Genomic DNA, 13,154 nt, shown 5'->3' on the forward strand with positions numbered 1-13,154 from the left:
CTGACCTCAAGTGATCCACCCGCCTTGGCCTCCCAAAGTGCTGGAATTACAGGCACAAGCTACTGCGCCCTGCCAGCCACTGCGCCCAGCCTGCCTTGCAAGTTTAATTGGAATGCCAGAGCACCTTAGCCTACGGCGGTGAGGCTTGCTGAAACTCAAGTTCCAAACAAGGAGACGGACAATTTCTCTTTGGCTAGAGGTTCTAAATGCTCCCTCTGTGGTCATCAGCTGAGTTCTGCAAAGTGTTGTTTTCCACTGTGACAGGGCAGCAGTGAATTCCAATGCAAAGTCCCATAATCACTGCACTTCTCCTCCCCCAAGCATACAGATTCTCCATATCATGCAGTTCCTGCTAAGGAATGGAAAAGGTATGGTGTCAGCAATTCAAGACTATCTCTCCTACTCTTTACAGTGTCTCTTTCAGTGATATCAAATTAAAACCAGGTGATTGCTCACCTGATTTTTGGTTCTTATGAAGGTGCTTTCTTGTGTAGGTAGTTGTTACATTTCATATTCCTGTGGGGAGGACAACTGGTGGAAGCTTATATTTGGCCTTCTTGGTAATATAATTTTTGTAGCAATAGAAGTATGTGTATTTCACAGAAATGACACATAATTTAAACTGATGCTCTCAGTAGTTTATAATCATTAGGAAAGCAGCATGAAAGAAGTGACTCCTAAGCAAAATTGCAGGAGATCAGTGGGAGTGCAAAGATTTACATAAATTGGGAATTTTAGAAACTGGAAGTAGCAAATATCAACATCAGTATGCGGATGGCTCTTTTATGATTTTGTCTCGTTTAGCACCTGATGAGTACAATAGACAAATAATATACATATTTTTATGTAAGAGAGAGAAACTGTGGTAACAGGTGAAAGGTATGACCAACATAGATTTCATAGTTATGAAAAATGACATTCTTCCTAATCCTCATATTATATAACTGAATCTGTTTTGCACTGGGACACTAGATTTTTCTATCTCTTTTATTTATTTATTTTTGAGACGGAGTCTTGCTCTGTCGCCCAGGCTGGAATGCAATGGCACAATCTTGGTTCACTGAAACCTCCACCTCCCGGGTTCAAGCAGTTCTCCGGCCTCTGCCTCCTAAGTAGCTGGGATTACAGGTGTACACCACCATGCCCGATTAATTTTTGTATTTTTAGTAGAGATGGAGTTTCACCATGTTGGCCAGGCTGGTCTCAAACTCCTGACCTCAGGTGATCTGCTGGCCTAGGCCTCCCAAAGTGCTGGGATTACAGACGTGAGCCACCGCGCCCAGACAGATTGTTCTATTTCCAATAATTATCAATATTGCCTCCTTCATTCAAATTTATAAGGTAAGTCTTTCTATGTGGCTACATCTTAATACCACTGCTTTACTCGTATATTTAAGCAGAAAGGATTGGACATCCCTTTTCTGTTTTGGTGGGCTGGTTCCAGAACACTATATAATATATTAGAGCCATGAGAGGTGTTAAAATCCTTAAAATACAGAGCCACAATCCCTCTCTAATAGGTTTGGGAAATCTCTACCTAACAGGAGATAACAAAGTAAGCAGATTCCTGAATATCACACTTGCTTCTCATATTTTCCTGAAGAATGTGGCTGAAATAAATATCACCAATGACCATTATAGGTTTCACTTTATTAGCCATCGAAATATTTGACAACTACTTAATCAATCAAGAATAGGTACCACACAAGAGAGAAACAATTTTTCTAGTTAAAGCAGAAGCTTAAAAAAAGTGTAACTCATTTCAAGAATCTCAAATTTCATGGTGCATAAGAAAATTTACCTATTCTTACATATGCTATCCTATGTCCAGGGAAAGATTCATCCAAAATATTGTACTAGTATCAAAGATTGGGAGAAAGACCCAAAAGGTAATGGTTCTTCTAATGTCTCAAATTTTAAAAAATGAGAGGGAAAATCTCTATAAAAGTTACACATTATAAATCACATTTTCCTGGAACAAAACACCACTTACCTTGGAAATTTTCTCTACAAAATATATTGTCTCTCTTACTTACAAAAAGCAAAATAATAATTACCTGACAAAGAACTACAAATATTTGATTTGCTTAATTACAAGCTCCATCTTTGGTAGAAGCTTTGAACAGGATTTATGTAAACCTTCACTTAATTTGAGAAATATGATTCAGGATTAATTTAGAGTAAGAGAATGCCAAATTAAGTCTTGGGATGAGGTCACACATGAATCTCCAAAGCTGGCTCAGTTCAAGGCATATTTTCATGAAATTGTACATTGTCTTTCATAAAAGAGGTTCTTGAAATGAATGTAACAGATTCATTCATGAATGAAAGGAAAAAATAGGAAAGCAGAAAGATTTGAAAAGAAGCTCATTAAATGTATTTATTTTAAATTAATAACATTGAACAGTTACCATATTTTTATAATCATAACATAAATAATTGAAGTCATGCAGTACAACAAAAATCAATTTGATGAAATAAGGCATCTAATGGAATATGAGTTTTGAAGCAAAATCACATTTTATAATACAAAGATAAAAGTGAAAGCAGATAATACAGAATAAATGTATATAAATGATAATTTGGATTATTTTTCAGATAATTTCACTGTCCTTTCCCTCTCATTGGGAGTGAAATAGAATTCCTTCCTTTAGTAATGTTCAGCTTGGCCATGTGACTCACTTTGGCTAATAGAAGGTAATGATGTTGCTACAAGCAGAGACATGGCTTGGATCCTATTATGATCTTACGGTTTACCAGGAGAGGAATATATCCTAGATTGTCTGAACCTCACAATGGAACATGAAGAGACCATTTGCCTTGTAGGTGCGGGTTCAAGGAAGATGAGACAAATATGGAATAAGCTTGTATCCATTCCTGGAGCCTGGAGCCTGGAGCCTGGGGCCCAGATACTGAAGCCTTGAGTCTAATTTAGTCCAGCTGATTTTCAGCTAACCCTCGCACACATAAACATGAGAATAAATGAGTTTTCTTTCAACTCAAAATAATTTGTCTCTAAGAATTTAATTTGTCTTTAAGAATTAGAAAGAAAAAGAATAAAACCAGGAAGAAAATGTAGTATTGGGATTTTTATGGACAAAATTATTTCTGTCCCAGTTTTTTATATTTATGCCTTTGTTCACTGTGATTATTCTGCAGTTGATTGGTGAAAAAGCATATCTGTATGCTTTTTCAAGATGATTGTTCATCAATGTGTTATTTTAAACAATTTTGATTTTATGTTATATTAAAGAGAATAGCTATAGGAAGCAAAGGGTTGTGTATAATGACCTAGTATTATTTAACAATGAGCTTAACATTTTTAGATAGAAACACAGCCTGATACTTTAAAGGTCTTCAAAACCTGGTACTAATATGTATAAGTTACTCAGTTAAGAAAATACAACAATTTAGGAATGAGTGACGAGGAGAATTAAGGCATATGATAAATGGAATTGCCAGTGGTTGATTTAGACATGTGCAATTGACTATAAAATCAACCATTGGTTTGTAGTTTTATTGCAATTCCATTTCTTCAGGAACAGTCTTGACATATAAAACTATTGAATATTATAGTCAGTAAGATATCATATAATATCTACTTTGTCAAAAAAAAGTATACTTTCTAAATTAATGAACAATTTCCAGGTGAAATACAAAGAGGAGAAATGTGGCATGGCTAACTTTTACTCAAATCCAAGGAGATTTGCTTGTCTTCCACACACATTGCCTTGTATTTAGAGTTATATCCTATAATTAAATCCAGAGGGAATGAGTTGAATTCTCTCTGGTAACTCATCTTTCAATGTTTTCACATAAATTTCAGGAATGTCTTGGTATAATAAAACTAATTGGTCTCCGTGGGAAATACAAAAGTGCATTTTGAAGAGGTTTGCTTTCATTTTACTATGAGTTTTGTTTGGTATATTATTAATATGTAAAATAAAGAAGTAGGTATCTATACATATGCAAAATCAGTCCTATAATCCAAATATTATAATAGATGTATTACATGAGGCCTGTTTCAAGTCAGTTCTATGGAACACAAATTGTACTTTTCAGAAAAATAATGGTATCCCCAAAGATTATTATTCTGGACAAGACTGAAAAATAACTATCTAAACTCCTAAAGCAATTTAAATCCTCCTTGGAATAAGGCAGGGGACAATAAATAAATAAGAAAAAACAAATAAAGCCTAATGTAAATGACTAATAGACTATGTATTAACAATGTTAACATGAAAAAGTAATAAAGAATTTCACTTTTATTTTCAGAAAATTAATGATCTGTACTCTAATTCAGGCATGAACTGGGAGATTCTAGTTTGAAAAGAGGTAAACAAAGTAAACATGGTATTTGACTGTAAAAATTTTAAGTATGTTAGAAGAAACTTAAATTTTCACCGAAGTAGGGCTAATGGCAAAAGTACATTATTTGAGACATTCTCTATAGTGGCAGGACAAGCTGCTGACAGCAAAATTGATCTGGTTGCAAAATGGAGCTCAAGAGAAAATTTAAGCAAGAAGAAAACCATTGGAAACTATGGAATAGGCAATATCTTGAGAGTCTATGAGTCAGGAAAGATGACAAATTCCCAGCAGCAATTAATGGACAGAAAAAGATCAACTAAGAATTTCCTGCCTATATGCCTGCTGAGATAGAAAATTAATCTGAGGGGTTTATTTAAAATATATGGGTTAATGGCTTACTCTTTGTAGCTGAATATAAATGACTTCCTTGATAAAATTAGAACAACGTATTTTTACCACAAGAATATATTTTAAAATAAGTAGTTCAATTAAGTTGACTAGAACTGTCTCCAATGCTTAGCACAGTGTTCAAATCTAGTATGTTGAGAAGAATATAATGGATCATCAATAAATATCAGATAAAAATTAATTTAATTAATATTTTGGGATTAAAAATTAAAATATTAGACATTAACATAATTGTTAATACTATTTTTGACATATTTTAACATACTTTTTAGAAATAATTCTTAGTAATTTTTATGTTGCTGTAATAAATGATATATTTATCTGAAATTCCAAAAAAACAACAACTGAGGTTTAGTGTAGTTTGGTCACAAAAAAAGAGCTAGTAGATAGCAGAGAATATATGCAGATTTAGACTGGCACCAGAGCCTGATCTTTTAGACACTATTCTATATGGGTTTTGAAAATTGAAACAAAGTCCAAATTTGAATCTCAGTCAGATTTCAGACCTGTCTGCACATAACCAGTAAAATAATGGGCAAATCCTTTGGATGTCACTTTTTAAGAAGAAGAGAATGGGAAAGTAATTTGGCAAGGGGATTAGTGGAATTGTAATGTCAGAAAGGTTTCTGCTCAATATCTTTGCCCAAAACTAATGTACCTGTGCCTGAGCTGGTCATCAGGCTAAAGCTTCATTTTCTACTCAGGAAATCAGGGCTGGAAAAAGTAAAAAATTAAGTTTTATAATCTAACTTCATTGACCAAGCATTGGTGTCAGTTGCCCTGAAAATAGAGCATAAACTTGGGTCTGCAGCTTCTTTCCAGTAAGCAATTGAGCTGTGAGTTTCAGCATTAGTCCTTGCAGAACTTTAAGAAATCTTTAATTCTATCCAAAAGGAGATATCTACAACAACTTACTAACTGAAGGGCCATTGGCCCTTGAATAACCAGCAGTGATAACACGGATACGACACTGAGGGACTTGGGTGTGGCTCTGATATTTAATGACTTCAGGTGAAACTCAGCACATTCCCAGCTGTGGCTACAGGGCAAGACTCCTGCTTGAGAAAACAGAGGTAACAGTAAAGGGGACTCTTGTCTTGCACCATACGTACCAGCTCAGCCACAGTGGAGTAGAGCACTAAGTGTCTTCTTCGGGTGCCTGATTCCAGGATTTGGCTCTTGGATGGCATTTTTGGACCTGTTTTGGGCCAGAAGGGATGCCACTGTCCCTGAAGGGTGTCACAGGCCAGGCAGCATTTAGCAGAAGCTTACTGAAGGGCCTCTGGGCCTTCAAGAAACGTCAGTGGTAGTCTCCAGTACTTCCCATGGGCCTGTGGTGGTGTTGTCCACAAGGTGAAGCTCCTCTGTCTTTGGAAAGGGGAAGGAAGAGTGGGATAGAGTGCATCTTCTGGTTTGAGTGCCAGCTCAGCCACAATATAATAGAACATCAGGTAGACTTCTAAGGCTTTTGACTCTAGTTCTTGGCTCCTGAATGGCACCTCTAGACCCAACTAGGGCCCTGGGTGACCTCATCACCCTGAAAGAAAGAACACAGATCTGGCTTACTTTGCCACCTGCTGACTGTATTTCCCAAGGGCCTTGAGCGAGCATAGGCAGTAGCCAAAGAGTAGTTACAGCAGGGTGAGACCAAGTGCTGTGCTGGCTTCAGGTCTGACCCAGCGCAGTCATAATGGTGGATGTTTGTGTTATTCCACTCCCAGGTTTAGGTGGTTCAAAACAGAGACAGAGACTCTGTTTGTTTAGGAGAAATTGAGGGAAGTGAGCAAGAGTCTCTGCCTGGTAATCCAGATAATTCAACAGATTTTGTCAAAGAACATCAAGGCAGTACCTATACAAGTCTGCAAGAACCACAGCAGTACTGGGCTGGGGTGCCACCTAAAGCATCTACAGCTTAGATCAGAGCACCAAAGTCCTTCCAAATATCACCAAAGACGGACTGGTACAAACAAGACCAGACTGCAAAGACTAAAATAAATACCTAACTCTTCAATGCCCAGACACCAAAGAACATCTTTGTTCTTTGCATCAATGCCATCAGGGAAAACAAGACCTCACCAAATGACCTAAATAAGGCACCAGGGACCAATCCTGGAGAAATAGAGATATATGACCTTTTAAGACAGAAAATTCAAAAATAACTGTTTTGAGGAAACTCAAAGAAATTCAAGATGACACAAAGAAGGAATTCAAATCTGATCTGACAAATTTAACAAAGAGATTGTAATAATTAAAAAGAACCAGGCAGAAATTCTGGAGCTGAAAAATGTAACTGGCATACTGAGGAATGCATTAGTCTTTTAACAGCAGAATTGATCAAGCAGAAGAATGAATTACTGAATTTGAAGACAGACTATTATAAAATACACAGATGAGACAAAATTTTTTAAAAAAGAAACATGCATAAAGGATTTGGGAAATGGCCTCAAAGGGGCAAATCTTATTGGTCTTATAGAGAGGTACAGAAAGAGAGGGGTAAAAAGTTCACTCAAAGAGATAATAAGAGAGAACTTTCCAAACCTAGAGAAAGATATCAATATCCAAGTACAGGAAGATTACAGAACACCAAGCAGATTCAACTCAATTAAGACTGCCTCAAGACATTTAATATTCAGACTCCAAAAGATCAAGAATAAATAAAGGATATTAAAAGCAGCAAGATAAAAGAAACAACATACAATACAGCTTCAATATGTCTGGCAACAGATGTTTTAGCGAAAATCTTACAGGCCACAAGAGAATAGCATGACATATTTAAAACACTGAAGAAAAAAAATTTTACGCTAGAATAGTATATCTGGTGAAAATATTATTCAAACTTGAGGGAGAAATAAAGACTTACAGGTTAAACAAAAACTGAGATATTTCATCATCACCAGATCTGTCTTACAAGAAATACTAGAGATAGTTATTAAATCAGAAAAAAGGACATTAATGAATAATAAATAATCACCTGAAAATAAAAACTCACTGGTAATAGTAAGTAAACAGAGAAACACAGAATATTATAACATTGTAACAGTGGTGTGCAAAATACTCTCATCCGAAGTAGAAAGACTAAATGATTAACCAATCAAAAATAATTACCAGAACAACTTTTCAAGACATAGAGAGTACAATAAGATATAACTAGAAACAACAAAAAGTTATAAAGTGGAGGCACAAAGTTAAAGCATAGTGTTTTTATTAGTTTTCTTTTTGTTTGACTGTTGATGCAAATAGCATTCAGTTGTTATCTGTTTAAAATAATTAATTGTAAGATAGTGTCTGCAAGTCTCATGGTAACCTCAAATCCAAAATCACACAAGAGATACACAAAAAATAAAAAGCAAGAAACTAAATCATATCACCAGAGAAAAATTATCTTCACTGAAAGGAATACAGGAAGGAAAGAAAGAGGATAAGACCACAAAACAACCAAAGTACAAATTAAAAAATGGCAGGAGTAAGTTCTTGCTCATCAATAATAACATTGAATATAAATACACTTAACTCTCCATTCAAAAGACAAAGACTGGATGAATGGATTAAAAAAAATGACACCCAGTGATCTTTTGCCTACAAGAAACATGGTTCACCTATGAAGACACATTTAGACTGAATTAAGGGATGGAAAATATATTCCATGCCAATGAAAACCAAAATTAATAATTTAATTGTACATTTTAAAATAACTAAAAGAGTATAATTGGATTATTTGTAGCACAGGGCATAAACACAGTTCTCCATGATGTTAGTATTATATATTGCATGTCTACATCAATACGTCTCATGTACCCCACAAATATATACACCTACTATCTAACCACAATAATTAAACCTTTTTTAAAAGGTGAGTTAAGAATAGATTGTTTCAGAAAGCCAATGGACACTTTGAAAAATAAATAAATAAAAGTGATAAACCTCAGGCAAGTTTGATCAAGACATAAAGAAAAGACAGACACACACGAACTATACAACAGGAATGGCACAGGTGAAAGAACTACATAGCTGAGACATAAACAAGACAAAAGAACGTTATGAAAATAACCCTGTTCCTGTATTGGTTTGCTGAGAATGATGGTTTCCAGCTTCATCCATGTTCCTGCAAAGGACATGAACTCATCCTTTTTTATGGCTGCATAGTATTCCATGGTGTATATGTGCCACATTTTCTTTATCCAGTCTATCATTCATAGGCATTTGGGTTGGTTCCATGTCTTTGCTATTGTGAATAGTGCCTCAATAAACATACATGTGCATCTGTCTTTATCATAGAATGTTTTATAATCCTTTGGGTATAGATCCAGTAATGGGATTGCTGGGTCAAATGGTATTTCTAGTTCTAGATCCTTGAGGAATTGCCACACTGTCTTCCACAATGGTTGAACTAATTTACACTCCCACTAACAGTGTAAAAGCATTCCTGTTTCTCCACATCCTCTCCAACATCTGTTGTTTCCTGAGTTTTTAATAATCACCATTCTAACTGGCATGAGATAGTGTCTCATTGTGGTTTTGATTTGCATTTCTCTAATGACCAGTGATGATGAGCTTTTTTTCATGTTTGTTGGCCACATAAATGTCTTTTTTTGAGAAGTGTCTGTTCATATCCTTTGCCCACTTTTTGATAAGGTTGTTTGTTTTGTTCCTTGTAAATTCTGGATATTAGCCCTTTGTCAGATGGATAGATTGCAAAAATTTTCTCCCATTCTGTAGGTTGCCTTTTCACTCTGATGATAGTTTCTTTTGATGTGCAGAAGCTCCTTAATTTAATTGGATCCCCTTTGTCAATTTTGGCTTTTGTTGCAATTGCTTTTGGTGTTTTAGTCATGAAGTCTTTGCCCATGCTTATGTCCTGAATGGTATTGCCTAGGTTTTTCTCCAGGGTTTTCATGGTTTTAGGGCTTCACTTTAAGTTTTTAATCCATCTTAAGTTAATTTTTGTATAAGGTGTAAGGAAGGGGTCTAGTTTCAGTTTTCTGCATATGGCTAGCCAGTTTTCCCAAGACCATTTATTAAATAGGGAATCCTTTTCCCATTGCTTGTTTTTGTCATGTGTGTCAAAGATCAGATGCCTGTAGATGTGTGGCATTGTTTCTGAGGCCTCTTTTCTGCTCCATTGGTCTATATATCTGTTTTGGAAGCCTTGTATCCCAAAACCATGCTTCTTTGGTTATTGTAGTCTTGTAGTATAGTTTGAAGTCACGTAACATGATGCCTCCAGCTTTGTTCTTTTTGCTTAGGATTGTCTTGGCTATACAGGCTCTTTTTTGGTTCCATATGAAATTTAAAGTAGTTTTTTCTAATTCTCTGAAGAAAGTCAATGGTAGCTCAATGGGGATAGCATTGAATCTATAAATTACTTTGGACAGTATGGCCATTTTCACGCTATTAATTCTTCCCATCCATAAGCATGGAATGTTTTACCATTTATTTGTTTCCTCTCTTATTTCCTTAAACAGTGCTTTGTAGTTCTCTTTTAAGAGGTCCTTCACATCCCTTGTAAGTTGGATTCCTAGGTATTTTATTCTCTTTGCAGCGATTGTGAATGGGGGTTCACTCATGATTTGCTTCTCTGTCTATTATCAGTATATGGGAATGCTTCTGATTTTTGCAAATTGATTTTGTATCTGAGACTTGCTGAAGTTGCTTATCAGCTTAAGGAGTGTCTGGCCTGTGATGATGGGGTTTTCTAAATATACAATCATGTCATCTGCAAACAGAGACAATTTGACTTCCCCTCTTCATATTTGAATACGCTTTATTTCTTTCTCTTTCCTGATTGCCCTGGCCAGAACTACCAATACTTTGTTGAATAATAGTGGTGAGAGAGGGCATCCTTGTCTTGTGCCGGTTTTCCAAAGGAATGCTTCCAGCTTTTGCCCATTCAGTATGATATTGGCTGTGGGTTTGTCATAAATAGCTCTTATTATTTTGAGATATATTCCATCAATACCTAGTTTATTGAGAGTTTTTAGCATGAAGGGTGTTGAATTTTATCAGACCTTTTCTGCATCTATTGAGATAATCATGTGGTTTTTGTCATTGGTTCTGTTTATGTGACGGATTACGTTTATTGATTTGTGTATGTTGAACCAGCCTTGCATCCCAAGGATGAAGCTGACTTGATCGTGGTAGATAAGCTTTTTGATGTGTTGCTAGATTCGGTTTGCTAGTATTTTATTGAGGATTTCGCATCGATGTTCATCAGGGATATTGCCCTGAAATTTTCTTTGTTGTTGTGTCTCTGCCAGGTTTTAGTATTAGGATGATGCTGGCTTCATAAAATGAGTTAGGGAGGAGTCCCTCTTCTTCTGTTGTTTGCAAGAGTTTCAGAAGGAATGGTATCAATTCCTCTTTGTACTCATAAGTGGGAGTTGAACAATGAGAACACATGGACATAGGGAGGGGAACATCACACACAAGTACCTGTTGGTGGGTGGGGGAGCTAGGGGAGGGATAACATTAAGAGAAATACCTAATGTAGATGACGGGTTGATGGGTGCAGCGAACCACCATGGCACATGTATACTTATGTAACAAACTTGCATGTTCTGCACATGTATCCCAGAATTTAAAGTATAATATAAAATAAATAAAATAAAATAAAAAAAGAAAACTGAAAAGAACGTAACTATTAGAATTAAAAATAATTTAACAAGATTACTAGATTTAAAAAAATCAACATATAAAATTCAATTTTTAAAATCATTGAACTACAAACTTATTTGTGCTCTCTTATGTATGAGTATTATAGGTCAATAAAAAGTTTAATTTCTAAAGATGTGTATTTCTAAATACCAGGAACAAATAATTTTTAAAGATTTAATCTATTTTAGTAGCATTGAAAGTATAAAATATCTAGGAATAAATCTAACAAATAATAACCAAAACTTTTTAAAAATATTATAAAACTTTATAGAATTACATTCAAGAAGACTCAAATAAAGAAAACCTAAATTAATAAACTATGCTCATTGATTTTAAAACTAAATATTTGAATAAACTATTTTTGACTTATTCAGTATAGATCCAAATGCAATTTGAAAACAATGGTATTTTTGTAGCAATGTAGAAACTGAATCTGTAAATGCACATGGAAAAAAATGAACTGAGAATAACAGACACTCATGAAGAAAAGGAACAACATAAATGACTTCACCTTACCATATACTGAATATCATTATAAAACTAAAAATTAAATTGTAGTATTGCCAAAGGCAAGACAGAGAGATTCGTGGACACAGAATAAAGATCAGTAATAGATATTTGTAAATATACACTTGAGAACTTGATTAAAACAGAGCTGATTTTGCAGACTACTGTGTAATGGATAGAATCTTTGATAACTGTCGCTAGAACAATTAGTTGTCCATATAGAAAAAAAAATAAAGCCAGACTAATACCTCATATCAGAGACAAAAGTAAACATTATCTTAACTACAAAATTACATGTGAACAACTAAATTATAAAGCTTTGAGAAGACAATAGAGGAATATGTACTTATTACTTCAGGACTAAGAAGAATTTCTTTAAAAATATATAAACCAAAAACCATTTAGGTCATTGTTTGGGAATTAAGGACTTCTGCTCACACCGAGACAGCAAAACAAACCAAAAAACAAGCAACAAATGAGAAAAACATATTTTCAGTTATATAAGGGATATAAATGTTTGTGTGCATGTATCATAATATATATATTATAAATAAAGAATGACTAAACAAGGAAAAGATAAGTGATCCAATTAAAAAACAGGGAAAAATATTGTGAAGACACTATATAGGAAGAAACAACTAGTAACTATTAGGTTGGTGCATTAAAAGTAATGACAAAAACCGCAATTACTTTTGCACCAACATAATTTTTAAAGATTTACTTTAATCAAATTGAAAATTAGAAGAATCAAAAATAAAACCACAATAAGATGTCATTTCACACATATACTAGATAGGCAAGAATATTAAAATCTGAAAATGTCAATTATTAGAAAAGATGTGGAACATTCAGAAGAACAAATAGCTTATGATAATGTAATATAGAACAACAAGCCTGGAATGACATTACATAATAAATTTGAAGATATGCAAAACACTTCCATTCCTGAGAATACACCCTAGAGGAATTCTTGCTATTTATATGCTCCAAGAGTCCTGCTCAAGAATATCAATGGGCATACATTAGAGACACCTGGGAAGAACATTACTGAGCACTGAAAGAGGAATGACCTAAAGGTTCCACCTGTATTTACAGGCTAGAATGTGAGACAACACTGAAAATGAATGCATTACAGCTACGCACACCAACAAAAACATGTTTAAAATCTTAGCTATGACCGAGAAACACAAGTTATAGGAGAATACAGGAAGCCTAATTCCTTCATATACATATAAAATTGAACTATATAAAGTATAGGAAAAGAGCACATAGAATTA

At 34.7% G+C, this 13,154-nt stretch overlaps 1 long non-coding RNA gene across 1 annotated transcript; it reads left to right on the forward strand.

The window, feature by feature from the left end:
* The first annotated feature begins 25 nt into the window (after positions 1–25).
* LOC124908061 (uncharacterized) lies at positions 26–3,005 on the forward strand. Its single transcript, XR_007088688.1, has 2 exons — positions 26–368; positions 2,599–3,005. It is a non-coding gene; the product is annotated as an uncharacterized LOC124908061 (long non-coding RNA).
* The last annotated feature ends 10,149 nt before the right edge of the window (positions 3,006–13,154 follow it).

The sequence above is a fragment of the Homo sapiens genome, chromosome 2 (assembly GCF_000001405.40).
Source record: "Homo sapiens chromosome 2, GRCh38.p14 Primary Assembly".
Classification (NCBI taxonomy): Eukaryota; Metazoa; Chordata; class Mammalia; order Primates; family Hominidae; genus Homo; species Homo sapiens.